General features: G+C 39.3%; 1 annotated feature.

The window, feature by feature from the left end:
* Positions 18,999–19,960: an enhancer, noted in NCBI's record as "OCT4-NANOG-H3K27ac hESC enhancer chr3:162440387-162441348 (GRCh37/hg19 assembly coordinates)". NCBI's record gives its function as "activates a minimal SCP1, AML or CMV promoter by ChIP-STARR-seq in naive H9 embryonic stem cells {active_cell/tissue: H9 hESC(naive)}" and the evidence as "EXISTENCE:reporter gene assay evidence [ECO:0000049][PMID:30033119]".

Below are 20,816 nucleotides of genomic sequence, written 5' to 3' on the forward strand. Positions count from 1 at the left end.
TAACGCACATCATGTTGGTGAAGAATCAGTATATTTTCATGGAGAAATATTAATTTTCTTTTCAAACAATAATAAAAAATGCACATTATGTAGTTACAAATGCATGGTCTGGTAAGGGAAAAGAATGAAATTTTAATAAGAATATCTAATTAAGTAGCAAAAACATGGAATAAATAGCAACTTGATTAAAATAATGCAAGATAATAAGGGAATACAGGAAAGGATTTTTTTTTAAAAGAAGTTAACATGAAGATGTAAGGAGCACAGTAACTGTATAGGATTCTTACCCTATATATGGATAGAATGATGACTTCTATCAAAAGACAGAGTTCAAATTCATCCGTCTAAGTGCAGGTCATACACAAAAGAATTAAAACCAATCATAACAGCAAAAACTTGAAAATAAAAAGATTGTCAATTAAGCACCTCAAAAATAAAATTTAGAAAATAATGGCTCTGTTAGCATCACACAAGTATATGCTGTAGTTTAAGGTTAAAGGCATGAAACAGTATTGTGTCATGAGAAAATGCACACTTTACAAAAAGATAAAACACTAGTAAACAGGTATATAGATTTGGTAGCTCAGCAGCTAACTTCATAAAGTGAAAATCATTAAAAATGCAAGAACTTCATTTTCCAGAAGACTTTAGAAAGGAAACTTCGAGAGAACAGGGGAAGTTGGCAAAGAATATGCAGATTCCTTGAGGAACTGGCAGCTGATAGTTGGAGTCCCAGAAGCTCACTTATGAATAGAGGAGGAAGTCAAGATGATCTGCCAGTTCAGATAATCAGTGGAAAATCCTCTGCATAAAATCACTTTAGTGATGATGGAAATAGAAAGCTAAGACACTGAATAGCCAGTTGCAATATCCAGTGTGCCAGAGGCATACAAAGAGAGCACTCATTGAAACAGAGTAAGCTGAGCTGTCTCCAAACAGAAATGTGGTATGCTTTTGTCATATTAAGGAAACTGTCATCCTTTTAAAAGGAAAGTATACAGAGTGGAAGATTATAGTGCAGACCTATCATAGGAAAGCTTAAAATTAAATAAACCTGAAACACTTTTTTTCCTACTAAAAATCAGAATTAAAAATCACAAGTTAGAATGCTTACCTCAATCTATACTAATGATGCACCGGGCACCTTATTAAACAAACTGGAAGTAAAAATCAAAATACGTTATATTATTTTTAGATGATTTATAAGTTCCAAGTAGTGAAGAGGAAAAATGACTTATTTCAATAGTTACTAAATCACATTGAACAGTAAACACTTAAGAGGAGCTGGAGGAGGAGGAAGAATGCCTTACTGACCTCTGTAAAGAAAGGGAAAAAAAAAAAAAAGATAACTGCAGGCTGTCTCTCTGGTCTCCTGTACCTTGTACCTGGTCCTAGGACAGGAACACTTTACATTTCTAGGGTTCTGCCTCGGAATGGGTGTGGCTGAGGACACATGTGTTTCTAGTATTCCCATGCCTTCACCATTTGTTTGCCACCAAGATTCTCATCACAGAAAAATTAAAGATGTGAGACTAAATTCTGGAAATGCTGAAAACAGAAAGGGTGTGTCTGCCATGCCAATCCCAGGGAATGCATTCTTTTCTAGGCAGCTGTCCTTTCTCTAATCCAGCGCTCGTTTCTCCAAGCCTATATCTCTCAGGTTATCATCAAGGCTTCGTTCATGTTCACTTAATCGCACAGTGCCTTCATGGATTTCATGCTCAATTACCATTTGCTAAATTCTTTATCTTAGGAAAACATTTTGTAATACTACAAACTCATTTATTAATATTAATTTTATAGAACAAATAATATTTATTTAAGTAAACATATTCTTATTCTAATATACTTTGCATTCTCAATACTTAATGTTTGGAAGATAGCAGGTTTTCTATAAAAAATTTAGCGATTGAGGAACATTTAGTTTCATTTTAAAAATCTGTCACTTACTTTTCTGGTGTCAGGCCCTTAGAAGAGATGACTTCGAAGACAATTTTACAGATTCCTGAAAATGTAAGCTCTATAAGAATAAGAATATTATTTGGATTTTCACAGCTATAGCCGCAGTGCTAATGGCAGTGTGCGGTATATAGAAAGACTTTAAAAAATGTTTGTTGAGTGAAGTGGAAATATTTATTTTCACATTTAATTTAACTATAAAATATAGCAAATATATGGGAAAGAATATGGCAGCCATGCATCTAACTTCCACATATGCCCATATTGGATCCAGATATTTTTATTAATATTTGTTAAAAGAAATAGCTTAATTTCAATCATCTCTAACTTTTGACTTCTTAAGCATACTTTTTAAACTTGAGTGTGTCATTCATAAATATACTTTATATTTTAACACAAAATAGTACATATTGATTTTAATATAGTTATTAATGTACGTTTATATATGAAAATAAATACTTTTAATTCTAGGCTAGTCAGACTTTTAGTCTAAGACCATAAGCATTTTAAGATTTTAAGGCTATAACATTAAAGATTTTTTTTCCCCACATCCTAAAGTTGCTTTTAGTCTTCTTTCCTTAATAACACAGAATAACTCCTGTTTGTCTTCAGCCTTCATTATTTTATTTCTCCTTTTTACCTTTCTTCTTTGTCTGATCTTAGATTCTAAATGATAAAGACAGAAAGAAAAGTCCCGGAGAAGTAGAATAGGAGAGAAAGCATAATCACATTGATATCCTGTGATTAATATTCACTGGAGAATCTTGAGAATGAGAGAATGATTTTAAGATGACACTCAATATCTACTACCAACCATACGGTTATTATATACTATGTTTGCATTTTAATTTTTTCATCAAATAGTTGTCCTTAGTATTTGCCCATAGTCTCAGGCACTGCACTAGGAACAAATCTCCTCCACCTAAGAAGATACATGGGATCCTTGCCTCAGAGAGCTTATTGTCTAGTGAAAAGAAAAAAAAAATAGAGAAAAGTTTAAATGCATTGAAATAAGGATACAGATATAAAAAGATAGGAAATTTTGGGCTGGCCTGTAGCAGAGATGCAACACATTGGAAATTAAATGGTCTAACAGAGACATGAAAAACTTTGCAGAGGTAGTTGCCTTTAAGCACATGTTGAGGAGGAATGTAAAGAAAATACCCAGCATGGAGAACAGTATGTGAGACTTAAAGTATAGAAAAAACCTAGTGTTTTCAGATGGAGGAATAAATTTTGTATGACTAGTTACAAAAGGAAGAATGGCAAAGGATGTAACTGGATAGACAAGGTGGAGCATAGAAAGCCATTGGGAATATATTTTGGTGTGAAATAACCATCGTATGAATTTGATAGGAAGTCTCTTTGTGCTGCAAATCTGAGCAGAGTAACCTGGAGGAAATCGTCTGCCTAGGGAAGTGGTAACGAAGCTGAACATAAATGGATATATTCAGCAAGTGTAGGATATACAATTGACGAGTCTTGGGAATTGATTGGATTTGGGAGAAGATGTAATTAGATGAGATCCAAGTGTATGGTGTTGAAGACATATTGCAAGACATTGTGAATAATATATTAAAACTCTTGCACTCTTTCATCTTTTTCCCATGATCCTTTCTCACAAGTAGTGAGAACCTGTGAGTGGTGGAGTTTTATGTTGAATGCTTGAGCCCTAGCTCACAGATCTAGATTCCGTTCATTTTCTGAACTTTAACAGTGTCTGCTTCTACAGAGGTTAATTAAATGGCATTTTAAAAAAAATAAGCAACTAAAGAATGTCTATTTCTTTTTCCCCAGGAAAGATCATTTAGCAAGAAAAATCTGATTAAGGGGAAATACACAGTGACAGAAAACGGTAATCAAATCTAATTTTCAATAGCTCTCCCACAAATAAGTGTTAAATTAGTTTTCAGGTATCATCTCTATTTCCAAAAGAAATATTTTCAGGAAAGGAACAGAAACACAAAAATTATTGAGCATCTACTTTGTGTTAGAAACTGTTTTAGATTAACGCTGCCACCCTTTATCTCTATACAACTCTCTGAGGCATTTCTATTTTTAAAATAAAAAGAAAAAACTTAAGACTGATAGTGTTTATGTAAATGTAGAGAAGGGGTGGTATTAGAATTAAAATACAAGCTTGCCTCTTCACATTAGACACTTTCAAAAATATACAAAAATATTTCACAAAAATCCAAAAATGTTTTAATTTTTAACTCCCATACATATCAAAATTTAACCTGTAATTAAAAGACATTAAGGTTCCACAAATAAGAGCTTGGAATGTAGGCAATAATAATATTAAGAAATTAAAATAATGAGAAAGTCACAGAAAAGCTTTTCTCAGTATATAACTGGAGGCTAAAACTTGTTGAAGTAACTATAATAAACTTTTAAAAGTTACCAAAATGTCAGTAAAATAGAAATTTTGAGGGGTTAAATGTAATTAATAAATGACATATTTAGCATAATTTAATGTTTATATTTTGTCATTTATTATAAAATGTTATGCTTGATTAATTTAAATAAATATGATAAGAACAAAAAGTAATGATTAAAATAAACAGTAAAATTCTATATTAAACTATTAGTGTATTAAAATGTGTTTGTTTCTTCTAAAATCAAGTATGTTTGCTTGTTTTTTAAACAATAAATACTTACATTTTAATGTTGATTTATATACCAGGCACTCTAAGCAAGTGACAATGTAAATTAGGTAATGTTTTCCATTTTAGAGTTTACATAAATTAGATCCAGATTAATTAATTAACTTGCTTTAAGTAACAAAAATAGTAAATTACTGAGTTAGAATGCAAACCTTTTTCTGTCTGACTCCAAAGTAAGTGTTATTTACTAGTATTTGACCCTCCTATTGTATTTGTAGTTATGCTCAGAATAATCCAGATTGGAATTAAAAAAAAATTAAAAACATTTAATGGGTAGATAGTGGGTGTATATATTTATGGGGCACATGAGGTATTTTATTTTATTTTATTTATTTTTTTTTCAGTGGGATACATATTTATTTATTTATTTTTTTATTATTATTTCTATTATTATTATTATTATTTTTAATTATACTTTAAGTTTTAGGGCACATGTGCACATTGTGCAGGTTAGTTACATATGTATACATATGCCATGCTGGTGCGCTGCACCCACTAACTCGTCATCTAGCATTAGGTATATCTCCCAATGCTATCCCTCCCCCCTCCCCCCTACAGGTATAAAATACATAATAGTCACATCAGAGTAAATAGGGTATCTAGTACCTCAAGCATTTATTTTTTTTGTTATAAACATTCAGATTATAGTCTTATTTATTTTGCAATGTACGATACATTTTTGTGGACTGTAATTGTAGCAGGACGAGCTGCAGACAAAACCTCTCAGACACCGAGTTGTAGAAGGAAGGGCTTTATTCAGCTGGGAGCATTGGCAAGCTACTGCCTTAAAATCCGAGCTCTCCGAGTGCACAATTTCTGTCCCTTTTAAGGGCTCACAACACTAAAGATTTCATAGGAAAGGATCATGATTGATTTGAGCAAGCAGGCAGTACGTGACAGGGGCTGCGTGCACCAGTGGTCAGAGAGAAACAGAACAGGGCAAGGAGTTTCACAATGTTCTTCTATACAGTGTCTGGAATCTATGAATAACATCGGTTTCTAAGTTATGAGTTGATTTTTAACTACTGGATTTAGGCCAGGCAGGCCCAGGCCTGGTTTCAGGCCTGGCGCCAGGCTGCCTGTCTTTGGCTTTACTTCTTTGTTGTTTCTTCTTAAAACAGGTACTGAGTATAAAACAACATGAGAAGGTCTCTCTCTTCCTTCATAATCACATTGTTGTAGTAGCAAAAACTAGATCTAGTATCAAATACTAAATCTTATTCCTTGTATATAACTATATTTTTATACTCATTAACCATCTCTACCTCCCACCACTGCTACCCTTCCTACCCTCTGATAACCATCATCCTACTGCGTCCGGAATTGGTGGGTTCTTGGTCTCACTGACTTCAAGAATGAAGCCGCTGACCCTCGCGGTGAGTGTTACAGTTCTTAAAGGCAGCGTGTCTGGAGTTTGTTCCTTCTGATGTTCGGATGTGTTTGGACTTTCTTCCTTCTGGTGGGATTGTGGTCTCGCTGGCTCAGGAGTGAAGCTGCAGACCTTCGTGGTGAGTGTTACAGTTCTTAAGGCGGTGTGTCTGGAGTTGTTTTTTCCTCCCAGTGGGTTCGTGGTCTCGATGGCTTCAGGAGTGAAGCTGCAGACGTTCACGGTGAGTGTTACAGCTCATAAAGGCAGTGTGGACCCAAAGAATGAGCAGTAGCAAGATTTATTGCAAAGAGCAAAAGAACAAAGCTTCCACAATGTGGAAGGGGACTCCAGAGGGTTGCCACTGCTGGCTGGGGCAGCCTGCTTTTTTTCTCTTATCTGGCCCCACCCACATCCTGCTGATTGGTCCATTTTACAGAGAGCTGATTGGTCTGTTTTACAAAAAGCTGATTGGTCCATTTTGACAGGGTGCTGATTGGTGCATTTACAATCCCTGAGCTAGACACGAAAGTTCTCCAAGTCCCCACTAGATTAGCTAGCTACAGAATGCTGATTGGTGTATTTACAAACCCTGAGCTAGACACAGAGTGTTGATTGGTGCAGTTACAAACCTTGAGCTAGATACAGAGTGCCGACTGGTGTATTCACAATCCCTTAGCTAGACATAAAGGTTCTCCAAGCCCCCACCAGATCAGCTAGACACAGAGTGCAGATTGGTACATTTACAAACCTTGAGCTAGACACAGAGTGCTGATTGGCGTATTTACAATCCCTTAGCTAGACATAAAGGTTCTCCAAGTCCCCACTAGACTCAGGAGCCCAGCTGGCTTCACCCAGTGGATCCCGCGCCAGGGCCGCAGGTAGAGCTGCCTGCCAGTCCCGCACCTTGCGCCCGCACTTCTCAGCCCTTGGGTGGTCAGTGGGACCAGGCACCATGGAGCAGGGGGCGGTGCTTGTCAGGGAGGCTCGGGCTGTGCAGGAGCCCATGGCATGGAGGGGAAGTGCTCAGGCATGGGGGGCTGCAGGTCCTGAGCCCTGCCCCATAGGGAGGCAGCTAAGGCCTGGCAAGAAATCGAGTGCAGCACCACTGGGCCAGCACTGCTGAGGGACCCGACACACCCTCCGCAGCTGCTGGCCCGGGTGCTAAGCCCCTCAGTGCCCTGGGCCGGTGGAGCCGGCCGGCCGCTCTGAGTGCAGGGCCCACGAAGCCCACGCCCACCCGGAACTCACGCTGGCCTGCAAGCGCTGCACGCAGCCCCAGTTCCCGCCCATGCCTCTCCCTCCACCCCTCCCTGCAAGCTGAGTGAGCTGGCTCCAGCCTCGGCCAGCCTAGAAAGGGGCTCCCAAAGTGCAGCGGCAGGCTGAAGGGCTTCTCAAGTGTGGCCAGAGTGGGCGCTGAGGCCGAGGAGGCACTGAGAGCGAGCGAGGGCTGTGAGGGCTGCCAGCATGCTGTCACCTCTCACTACTGTACCTCTGAGTTCAATTGTTTTAATTATAACTACCATAGTGAGCAGAAATATCTGTTTCTTTCTGATGTGTGCCTAGCACTTAGAATAGTGTCTGGCCTTAGTAGTACTCAATAGATATCTGTGAAATAAATAAAAAGAAAGAGTTATAACATTGCAATATTATAAAGTTCTTAAGCATTAAATAATATGCTGTGGCTAAGTATTTTAACTTCCCCAGACATAGGTTTTATAAATCATATACACATTTGTAGAAGCTATAGCAGAGTCAATACTATTGACCAAATGTAAAATTCAATTGTTTAGTATTTTCCAAAAGTTAGCTTTAAAATTGTAATATTTTATCACATAATATAGAAAAAATAATGAGAAGACAATTGTATACACACACACCCACATCTGTAAAATTTAACATTATTTTAAAATTCAAATCAATATATTTCAATATTATTTTTAATATGAAAATATTTGAAGCACAATATTACTACACACCATTATCTATTCATGTTTATTAGGCATGTTGAAGTTTGATTTCTTTACCATAACCTTGAAGAAAGGTACAGTCAGAGTGATGCCCTACTGATGCCAAAAACAAAATTTAAACAACCTGAAAATATTTGTAGAGCCTATTTTTAAAACTAAATAGTAAACCTTATGAAAAAGCCACTTTCAAAGTAGAAACCTAGATTGATGTCCATTTTCTCTTCATAGTTTTAACATTAAAGTAAACAAATGATGTTTTCCTGTCATACTTAAAAAGGGCAATTGAATAAACTTCAAAGAATTCTGGAATCTTTATTGCTTTGTTCTTAGTGACAATGACAACAGCTGCTATGTAAAGCAAATAAATACCTTGGACATCAGACAGGAGGCTGGAAGAACATATCCCTGGGGTTGCTTTATTTGTTGGCTGCCTTTCTAATTATCTGCTATGCTTAAGATATTTCTTTAATAATTGATCTTCCTGTGAGGGGTTCGTTCTGGAACAGCATCATAAATGCAAATAGAACTGAAACTCAAAGTCTTTCACGTCTGCTTATGTGGATCACAAAGCCCAGTAGAACATTAGATAGTTAATGAAATCTGTATTTTATGGATTCCAGAAAAGTGTGTTCTTTAAAGTTTGTGAAGATGTACCCAGAGATAATCACACCTAACTTTTGGGAACTGAAGCAATAGACTGAAATTAACACATAAATAGAATTTCCACAATACACTTATATGCCAAAACCTTAAAAAGTTCATTTTAATTGTACAAGATGGGAACATTTTGGTAAGCTATATGACATGTTCTGAAATTTTAGAAAGAGGATACCAGCATATTGTAATCTGATTGTTTATTACAAAAGTATTAATATTAATCACTATGCTGTAATGTAGCTGTCAGGCCTCTGAGCCCAAGCTAAGCCATCATATCCCCTGTGACCTGCACGTATACATCCAGATGGCCTAAAGTAACTGAAGAATCACAAAAGAAGTGATATTTAAATGGCCTTTTCCTGCCTTCACTGATGACATTCCACCACAAAAGAAGTGAAAATGGCTGGTCCTTGCCTTAACTGATGACATTACTTTGTGAAATTCCTTCTCCTGGCTCATCCTGGCTCAAAAAGCTCTCCTACTGAGCACGTTGTGACCCCCTACTCCTGCCCACCAGAGAACAACCCCCCTTTTTCCTTTACCTACCCAAATCTTATAAAACAGCACCACCCCTATCTCCCTTCGCTGACTTTCTTTTCGACTCAGCCCATCTGCACCCAGGTGAAATAAACAGACCTGTTACTCACACAAAGCCAGTTTCGTGGTCTTTGTGTGAGGGACGCGAGTGAAATTTTGGTGCCGTGACTTGGATCAGGGGACCTCCCTTAGGAGATCAATCCCCTGTTCTTCTGCTCTTTGTTCCATGAGAAAGATCCACCTACGACCTCAGGTCCTCAGACCGACCAGCCCAAGGAACATCACACCAATTTTAAATCAGGTAAGCGGCCTCTTTTTACCCTCTTCTCCAACCTCTCTCACTATCCCTCAACCTCTTTCTCCTTTCAATCTTGGCGCCACACTTCAATCTCTCCCTTCTCTTAATTTCAGTTCCTTTCCTTTTCTCATAGAGACAGGAGACGTGTTTTATCCATAGACCCAAATCTCCGGTGCCAGTCACGGACTCGGGAAGACAGTCTTCCCTTGGTGTTTAATCATGCGGGGATGCCTGCCTGATTATTCACCCACATTTCAGAGGTGTCTGACTACACGGGGATGCCTGCCTTGGTCCTTCACCCTTAGCGGCAAGTACTGCTTTTCTGGGGGGCAAGAACCCCCTGACCCCTTCTCTCCATGTCTCTACCCCTTCTCCACTTTTCTGGAAGGCAATAACCCCCCGACCCCTTCTCCTTCACCCTTAGTTGCAAGTATCACTTTTCTAGGGAGCAAGAACCCCCCGACCCCTACTCTCTGTGTCTCTACCCCTTCTCCACTTTCCTGGGGGCAAGCATCCCCCACCGCTTCTCTCCATGTCTCTATTCTCTCTTTTCTCTGGGCTTGCCTCCTTCACTATGGGCACCCTTCCACCCTCCATTCCTCCTTCTCCTCCCTTAGCCTGTGTTCTCAAGAACTTAAAACCTCTTCAACTCACACCTGACCTAAACCTAAACACCTTATTTACTTCTACAATGCTGCTTGACCCCAATACAAATTCAACAGTCGTTCCAAATAGCCAGAAAACAGCACTTTTGATTTTTCCTTTCTACAAGATCTAGATAATTCTTATCATAAAATAGGCAAACGGTCTGAGGTGCCTGATGTCCAGGCATTCTTTTACACATCAATCCTTCCCTAGCCTCTGTTCCCAATGCAACTCATCCCAAATCTTCCTTCTTTCCCTCCCGCCTGTCCCCTCAGTCCCAACCCCAAGCGTCGCTGAGTCTTTCCTCTTTCCAATCTTCCTTTTCTACAGACCCATCTGACCTCTCCCCTCTTCCCCAGGCTGTTCCTTTCCAGGCCGAGCTAGGTCCCAATTCTTCCTCAGCCTCTGCTCCTCCACCCTATAATCCTTTTATCACCTACCCTCCTCATACCCAGTCTGGCTTACAGTTTCGTTCTGCCACCTGCCCAGCAATTTCCTCTTAAAAAGGTGGCTGGAGTTAAAGGCATAGTCAAGGTTAATACTCCTTTTTCTTTATCTGACCTCTCCCAAATCAGTTAGCATTTAGACTCTTTTTCATCAAATATGAAAAACCCAGCCCAGTTCATGGCCCGTTTAGCAGCAACCCTGAGACGCTTTACAGCCCTAGACCTTAAAAAGTCAAAAGGCTGTCTTATTCTCAATATACATTTTATTACCCAATCTGCTCCTGACATTAAATAAATTACCAAAAATTAAATTCCAGCCCTCAAACTCCACAACAGGACTTAATTAACCTCACCTTCAAAGTGTACAATAATAGAGTAGAGGCAGCCAAGTAGCAATGTATTTCTGAGTTGTAATTCCTTGCCTCCACTGCAAGACAAACCCCAGCCACATCTCCAGCACACAAGAACTCCAGACGCCTGAACCGCAGCTGCCAGGGATTCCTCCAGAACCTCCTCCCCCAGGAGCTTGCTACAAGTGCCAGAAATCTGGCCACTGTGCCAAGGAATGCCCACAGCCTGGGATTCCTCCTAAGCCATGTCCCATCTGTGCAGGACCCCACTGAAAATCGAACTGTTCAACTTACCTGGCAGTCACTTCCAGTGCCCCTGGAACTCTGGCCCAAGGCTTTCTGACTCCTTCCCAGATCTTCTTGGCTCAGCAGCTGAAGACCGACACTGCCCAATTGCCTTGGAAGCTTCCTGGACCATCACAGATGCTTTAAGGTAATTCTTACAGTAGAAGGTAAGTCTGTCCCCTTCTTAATCAATATGAAGGCTACCCACTCCACATTACCTTCTTTTCAAGGGCCTGTTTCCTTTGCCTCCATAACTGTTGTGGGTATTGACGGCCAGGCTTCTAAACATCTTAAAACTCCCCAACTCTAGTGCCAACTTAGACAACATTCTTTTATGCACTCTTTTTTAGTTATCCCCACCTGTCTAGTTCCATTATTAGGCCAAGACATTTTAACTAAATTATCTGCTTCACTGTTCCTGAACTGCAGCCACACGTCATTGCCGCCCTTTTCCCCAGTTCAAAGCCTCCTTTGCATCCTCCTCTCATATCCCCCAACCTTAACCCACAAGTATAGGATACCTCTACTCCCTCCTTGGCAACCGATCATGCACCCCCTTACCATCTCATTAAAACCTAATCACCCTTACTCCACTCAACGCCAATATCCCATCCTGCAGCACGCATTAAAAGGATTAAAGCCTGTTATCACTCACCTGCTACAGCAAGGCCTTTGAAGCCTATAAACTCTCCTTACAATTCCATTTCACCTGTCCTAAAACCAGACAAGGCTTACAGGTTACTTCAGGATCTGCACATTATCAACCAAATTGTTTTGCCTCTCCACCCTGTGGTGCCAAACCCATATACTCTCCTATCCTCAATACCTCCCTCTACAACCCATTATTCTGTTCTGGCTCTCAAACATGCTTTCTTTACTATTCCTTTGCACCTTTCATCCTAACCTCTCTTCCTCTCACTTGGAGTGACCCTGATACCCATTAGGCTCAGCAAATTACCTGGGCTGTACTGCTGCAAGGCTTCACAGACAGCTCCCATTACTTCAGTCAAGCCCAAATTTCTTCCTCATCTGTTACCTATCTCAGCATAATTCTCATGAAAACAGACCTGCTCTCTCTGCTGATCATGTCCAACTGATCTCTCAAACCCCAACACCTTCTACAAAACAACAATTCCTTTCCTTCCTAGGCATGCTTAGGTACTTTCGACTTTAGATACCTGGTTTTGCCATCCTAACAAAACCATTATATAAACTCACAAAAGGAAACTTAGCTGACCCCATAGATCCTAAATCCTTTCCCCACTCCTCTTTCCATTCCTTGAAGACAGCTTTAGAGACTGCCCCCGCCCTAGCTCTCCCTGACTCATCCCAACCCTTTTGATTACCCACAGCCGAAGTGCAGGTCTGTGCGGTTGGAATTCTTACACAAGAACCAGGACCGTGCGCTGTAGCCTTTTTATCCAAACTTGACCTCACTGTTTTAGCCTAGCCCTCATGTCTGCATGCAGTGGCTGCCACTGCCTTAATACTTTTAGAGGCCCTCTAAATCACAAACTATGCTCAACTCACTCTCTACAGTTCTCATAACTTCCAAACTCTATTTTCTTCCTCACACCTGACACATATACTTTCTGATCTCTAGCTCCTTCAGCTGTACTCTTTGTTGAGTCTCCTACAATTACCATTGTTCCTGGCCTGGACCTCAATCCGGCCTCCCACATTATTCCTGATACCACACCTGGCCCCCATGACTGCATCTCTCTGATCCACCTGACATTCACCCCATTTCCCCCTATTTCCTTCTTTCCTGTTCCTCACTGTGATCACACTTGGTTTATTGATGGCAGTTCCACCAGGCCTAATCACCACACTCCAGCAAAGGCAGGCTATGCTATAGTACAAGCCACTAGCCCACCTCTTAGAAGCTCTCATTTCCTTTCCATCGTGGAAATCTATCCTTAAGGAAATAATTTCTCTGTGTTCCATCTGCTATTCTACTACTCCTTAGGGATTATTCAGGCCCCCTACCTTCCCTACACATCAAGCTCTGGGATTTGCCCCTGCCCAGGACTGGCAAATTGGCTTTACTCAACATGCCCTGAGTCAGGAAACTAAAATACCTCTTGGTCTAAGTAGACACTTTAACTGGATAGGTAGAGGACTTTCCCACAGGGTCTAAGATGGCCACGGTCATTTCTTCCCTTCTGTCAGACATAATTCCTCGATTTGGCCTTCCCACCTCTATACAGACGTATAATGGACCGGCCTTTATTAGTCAAATCACCCAAGCAGTTTCTCAGACTCTTAGTATTCAGTGAACTAATGGTCTTTTAAAAACACACCTCACCAAGCTCAGCCGTCAACTTAAAAAGGACTGGATAATACTTTTACCACTTGCCCTTCTCAGAATTCAAGCTTGTTCTCGGAATGCTACAAGGTACAGCCCATTTGAGCTCCTGTATAGACACTCCTTTTTATTAGGCCCCAGTCTCATTCCAGACACCAGACCAACTTAGACTGCGCCCCGCCCCCCACAAAAAAAAACTACTTGTCATCCCTGCTATATTCTGTCTAGTCATACTCCTATTCACCATTCTCAACTACTCATAAATGCCCTGCTCTTGTTTACACTGCCGGTTTACACTGTTTCTCCAAGCCATCACAGCTGATATCTCCTGATGCTATCCCCAAACCGCCACTCTTAACTCCCTCTTAAAGTAATTAAGTAATCTTTCCTGGCAGGGCTATGCTGAAACTCCTTAGGCACTCTCTAGTTAGATGTCCTAGGTCCTCCCAATTCTTAGTCCTTTAATACCTGTTTTTCTCCTTGTCTTATTCCGTTCTTTTTTCAATTCATACAAAACCATATCCAGGCCATCACCAATAATTCTACACCACAAATGTTTCTTCTAACAACCCCACAATATCACCCCTTACCACAAAATCTTCCTTCAGCTTAATCTCTTCCACTCTAGGTTCCCTTGCCACCCCTAATCCCGCTCGAAGCAGCCCTGAGAAACATCACCCGTTGTCTCTCCATACCACCCCCAAAAATTTTCTCCCCAACACTTCAACACTATTATGTTTTATTTTTCTTATTAATATAAGAAGACAGGAATGTCAGGCCTCTGAGCCCAAGCTAAGCCATCATATCCCCTGTGACCTGCATGTATACATCCAGATGGCCTGAAGTAAGTGAAGAATCACAAAAGAAGTGATATTTAAATGGCCTGTTCCTGCCTTAACTGATGACATTACTTTGTGAAATTCCTTCTCCTGGCTCATCCTGGCTCAAAAAGCTCCCCCACTGAGCACCCTGTGACCCACCCCCCCACTCCTGCCGGCCAGAGAACAATCCCCCTTTTTCCTTTACCTACCCAAATCTTATAAAACGGCCCCACCCCATCTCCCTTTGCTGACTCTCTTTTCGACTCAGCCCACCTGCACACAGGTGAAATAAACAGCCTTGTTGCTCACACAAAGCCTGTTTGGTGGTCTCTTCACATGGACACGAGTGAAAGTAACTATTTTGTTAAACATATTGGTCTCAATATGCAAGTCATAGGGCAAATTTTTCTTTTTCCATTCCCTTCAAACATACTCATTAGCTTGGTTCTGTGTGCTTCTGGGACAAAATCACCAATAGGTCTTCAGGTATTTCCAAGGCTCAAAATTTCTTTTATTGAGATGAAATTCCGAGTTACCGTGATAATCACGACTCTCAACTTCAACAAAATTAAAGCTTTCTTTCTTCTCCCACTGAATGCTGCTTCAAGATTGGAGGTCTGCACTTGCTAAGAAAAAAAAGTCAGTTTGTCTCCTTATTTTGCCAACTCCCTCCTTAAGCCCTAGCTTCATTTTCTGAGCCCATAACACTCATTAAGAGTTTATTAAGAGTGCAGGTAATTTGGGGTAAGAGATGCAGCCTAATTCTATTTTGATCTGATATTGGCCCTCTTTCAAATTGGCAGATATTGAATGCTGACTTTTCTATTGAGGGATTTTCTCTGTTTCTCAGAGGATCCCTCCCCCATCCCCCAGGCAGTTCCACCTGCAGCTTGCTTGTTGATGTCTCCTCCAGCTGACTTTTTATGATTCCTTTTCCCAGAACTCAGCCTTGGCTTAACAGGAAACTCAACGTAGGTTTCTCAGTCCTAGTTCAATTGGGTGAGGTCCCCTGAGAACCGGCATATTCTCTTGTGGTTGTGCATCTGGTCCAAAGAAAACATGACACTTTGCCCTCCTCTCAGTTCTGTGAATTCATGAAAATAATAATATTCTTTTATCTTTATAACTCTCAGGTGTGTTTAAAACTCACTTCTGTGGCTTTCAATATCTAGAGATATATAAAAAGTTTTGTTAATTGTTCCTCACCAAAGTCTTCTCAGTTGGTGTAAGGATGAAAAGAACACAGCATTCCAGCACTTTTGCTAATGAAATTCTGTTTGCCTTTTTTAGCTGAATCCTCAATTAAATAACCACTACATCCATATCCTCAAAATAAATAATGAACTAAGAGTTCAAAATGTTTTGTATGGTCCTTCTTTGCAATTTCCTTATACATCTTCTAGCATATTCCATTGGCATATACATGTTCTTGGTCTTACAGACTCAACCAGTGAGAATCATGCCATTTTAATCAGTTGTTGACTCCTTCAAATGATGGTCACACAGTAAAGCAGCAGCAGCACCACCGAAGAATATGCTTCCACTATCACCACATTTGCTATGTTCTGAGCCTCATAAATCCAAGCAAGGACTCTTTGATGCCATTTTCAGAGGAGGATATTATTACGGATTGAATGCTTGTGTCCCCCCAAACTCATATATTGAGGTCCTAGTGCCTAATATGATAGTATTTGAAGATGGAGCCTTTTGGGGGTAATTCGGGTTAGATGAGATTATGTGTGTGGCCCTCATAATATGATTAGTGTCATAAGATGAGTAAGAGAGAAAAAGCCATGTGAAAATACAGCTAGAGGATGGCTCTCCACAAGCCAGGAGGAGAACTCTCACCAGGAACTGAATGAGCTGATGCCTTAATCTTGGACTTCCAACCCTCCAGGACTGTGAGAAATAAATTTCTGTTATTTGAGCCACCTAGTATATGGCATTTTATTTGGTCAGCCTGAGCTGACTAAGATACCATGACTTATAAATCTTGGGAACTTGCCAAAAATGTCACAGCTTAGAGGTTGAGTCAGGATTCAAACCTACTAGGGCAGTTTAAATGCAGTCTCCTGCTTTTTTGATATTGCCCTCTGTTTTCTCCTGTTGCTTTGAACTGCTTGGATGAGGTTTTGTGTTAATGTTAACAATTTTTCTGTTTTTTTTATATTGTATCCACTCTTTCATTAAATACTTCCCAGTATCTCTAGATTGGGCTGAGACTTACTCCCATTGCCTACCCCAGCAGTACCCCTGTTCATCTTTTTGATTTGAATTTATATACTGTTTTAGACAGCAAATATGTGCACATGCACTGTGTATATTGTATGCATATATGTGCTATGTATTTTTATTTATAATATGTTAAAGTAATGTCTACTGCCATGTTTTATTAATTACTAACATCTAGAGCCTGAAAATTGATGTCTATTCCTCTGCAGGTAATTACATATTTGAAACCCTTCTATGAGCCACATGTACAGACCTGAATATACAGTCTTATTTTTATTAACATGGTTTTTCAGATATCTTCAAGGATTCAAGCTGTTTTGGGGTAATTCATGTTCATGTTAAATGATGATTGATAAAGCTATGTAATGATTAACATTTTTGATAAATACATCAAATCAACAAAACAAAAGCCAGAAATATAATAAGATGGAGGATATAATGCTGTAAATCCTAGCAGGCCCTCTCTACTATTTTCCAGGTTTAGGAAGTCTTCTTTTTACAGAAGTGAATAAATTGGAGTAGCTCCAGCCCACTGTTAGCATTATGCTTAGCGACCCTGCACAGAAAATCTGTTCAAATTCCCTGAATCCAATTAAGTTGCTGACATAGTTTCTTATCTGATTACAAACAGCTTAAATTGCTGTTAAATGATTTCAATAATCCACATATAACTTGAAATCAGTTAAGTATTTTTATATTTTTTTCTTCAAAGATGAAATTTACTTGGCATTTATTCAAGTATACAAGGAAGAGCAACAGAAAAGTTGAAAGGGATTAGATGTAATGATCACAAAACTTATTATAATTAAAATATTCCTGTGAAGATCCTGGTGGGATGTTAAACTTCAGAATGTGTAATATATTTCCGTTTGCCTTTGATCATTCATGTGTTTAACTTACTGAGAAGTAAAAAAAAAAAAAGAAAATACATTTTTTTCTGAACACCTAAGTTTACTTATTCAAATGAATTACATTTGAAAAAGAAAATTGATAGAAATCTACTCTATAAAAATGAGTTGAAATAAATCACTTAAATTTATTTCCAGTTCAAGAATTATTTTTAGATATGACTTTTTAATTTCTTTCAAAAACTAGAAAGCACTCTTGAAACCTGATTGATATTTTTTGGAAAGAAAACTAAAAAGACAAGAGGTTGTACGAATGTAAGGCATAGTCTCAGTTTCCTGACCAAATGTTGTTCAAGAGAAAAGCTAGAAATCAGATACTGAGGTCACAAATGTTTTCAGCATTTCTAACTGTATATTTGATGTCCTATAACCTAGACCACACATTTTTAACTGCTAAAACTTAGGCAATTTTTATTACGGGATAATACTGACAGGATAAAAAGCAGTTTGAACAGCAAGCTGTCATTAGCAACAATGGAAAAACCACATCAGAAACCTGACCTAGTGTATATATGATATCCTCCTGTGTGTTAAAACTTTAAAACAGTGTTTATTGCCCTAAGAATAAGGAGGGGGTAGAAGGACATGCTGTTGTTGTTTCATATTTTTACTCCATTAGCAAGTGACATTATTCAAGCCTCATTATTGCTCCTAATGAAGCAATACAACAAAGCTAAACTTCAAGACAGTTTAAAATATTTGAGTGAGTTCCCGCAGTGCATTGAACTTGGTGAGAAAGCTTTTGCAAAAAGTGCAAAACCAGAGAACAGTCTTTCAAGTATCTTAATTTCCATGATAAACAGAGACACTTCTAGTTCAATATTTGGCTAAAACTGGTAGTGATATAAATAACACAAGAGCTATTTGCAAGGCCATTTATTTTTCTTGTTGCTTCTGCTAATAGCACTTTTGTGATAGGGTTTGTGGACAAGGCAACAGACAACAAAACTACTTCCTTGAAATCTACATGTCACCAGGAAGGTATGCTTGTCAAGGAAAACAATGATGAAGACATTGATGCAAAATATACAAGTTTAGAGTACTGTTAAGCTGCTCTGGTTGTAATTCCTCACTGTATAAACTTTCCATGAGGCAGCAAAAGGTACAGAGGCCTCATTTTTATACAGTCCCATTACCATATGTAAAAAAGACAATAGTAATGTTCTAAAATGTAACTTAAATTTTAAAAAAAGCCTCCTGTTATCAGCCTTCAAAGTACAACGAAGTTAAGTTGAATGAAATTATCTCCGAAATACGTAATATTAAAGTTAAGATATTCACATATTAAATGGGTAATTAATAAGACAAAAAGTGAAAAACTAATCTAAGCCACAGAATAGTTACATAAATAGGTGATAAAGTTGAAAGTTGTAGAAATTTAATAAAAGAAACAGAGAGCTGAAAACCAGAAAGGTAGAGTAAAGGAATATATAAAAAAGATCATAACCATGCCATTAAGGCATAAATATTCTATTGATTAATGCAAGTCAGCAGAATAAATGAAAATTTATGGATTGACTACATTTCAGATTGAAGTTACAGTGAGATGTGACTACATCCTTGGACTCCAAATTTCCATTTGCAATGTACATATATTTTTCATGTAAAAGAAAATTTAAAATAAAAAGTATTATTTGGAAATTTATTCCAAAAATTTATTCTTGGTATTTGAGAAAATTTTTGATAAAGAGAAGGAATAACAGGCAAAAACACAAACAAAAACAAAAAGTGTTAGTCTTTTTAGAGACACTAACACTACATTGTTTCCTTCATACGTGTCCGTGTGAAGAGACCACCAAACAGGCTTTGTGTGAGCAATAAAGCTTTTAATCACCTGGGTGCAGGCAGGCTGAGTCCGAAAAGAGAGTCAGCAAAGAGAGTCAGCAAAGAGAGTCAGCAAAGACAGACAGGGGTGGGGCCGTTTTATAAGATTTGGGTAGGTAAAGGAAAATTACAGTCAAAGGGGGGTTGTTCTCTGTCGAGCAGGAGTAGGGGTCACAAGGTGCTCAGTAGGGGAGGTTTTGAGCCAGGATGAGCCAGGAGAAGGAATTTCACAAGACAATGTCATCAGTTAAGGCAGGAACAGGCCATTTTCACTTCTTTTGTGGTGGAATGTCATCAGTTAAGGCAGGAACTGGCCATCTGAATGTGTACGTGCAGGTCACAGGGGATATGATGGCTTAGCTTGGGCTCAGAGGCCTGACATTCCTGTCTTCTTATATTAATAAGAAAAACAAAACGAAATAGTGGTAAAGTGTTGGGATGGCAAAAATTTTGGGGGATGCTATGGAGAGATAATGGGCGATGTTTCTCAGGGCTGCTTCAAGCAGGATTAGGGGTGGCATGGGAACCTAGAGTGGAAGAGATTAAACTGAAGGAAGATTCTGTGGTAAGGGGTGATATTGTGGGACTGTTAGAAGATATGGTTTTGTATGAACTGAAAAACTAAACGGAATAAGGAGAAAAACAGGTATTAAAGATCTAAGAATTGGGAGGACCCAGGACATCTAATTAGAGAGTGCCTAAGGAGATTCAGCATAGTCCTGCCAGCAAAGATGATTTAAGAGTGGCAGTTTGGGGATAGCACCAGGAGATATCAGCTGTGATGGGTTGGAGAAACAGTGTAAACTGGCAGTGTAAGCAAGAGCAGGGCATATATGAGTAGTTGAGAACAGTGAATAGGAGTATGACTAGACAGAAGATAGTAGGGATGACAAGTTTTTTGGGGCACAGTCCAAGTTGGTCTGGTGTCTGGAATGAGACTGGGGCTTAATAAAAAAGAGTGTCTATACAGGAGCTTAAATGGGCTGTACCTTGTAGCATTCCAAGGACAGGTCAGAATTCTGAGAAGGGAAGGTGGTAAAAGGCTAAACCGAGGAATTATGTCTGACAGAAGGGAAGAAATGACTGTGGTGGCCTTCTCAGACCTTGTAGGAAAGACCTCTACTTATCCAGTGAAAATGTCTACTTAGACTAAGAGGTATTTTTGTTTTCTGACTCGGTGCATGTTGAGTAAAGCTAATTTGCCAGTCCTGGGCAAATGGTAATTGTGGGACTTAACAAAGAGTGAGTACAGCTGAAGGAGCTGGGGATCAGAAAGTATATGTATCAGGTGTGAGGAAGAAAATAGCTTTTGGAAGTTATGAGAGCTGTAGAGAGTGAGTTGAGCATAGTTTGTGATTTTGAGGGCCTGTAAAAGTATTAAAGCAGCGGCAGCCACTGCACGCAGATATGAGGGCTAGGCTAAAACAGTAAGGTCAAGTTGTTTGGACAGAAAGGCTACAGGACACAATCCTGGTCCTTGTGTTAGAATGCACAGCTCTGCACTTCAGCTGTGTGTAATGAAAAGGGTTGGGATGAGTCAGGGA

The sequence above is a fragment of the Homo sapiens genome, chromosome 3 (genome assembly GCF_000001405.40).
Source record: "Homo sapiens chromosome 3, GRCh38.p14 Primary Assembly".
NCBI lineage: Eukaryota > Metazoa > Chordata > Mammalia > Primates > Hominidae > Homo > Homo sapiens.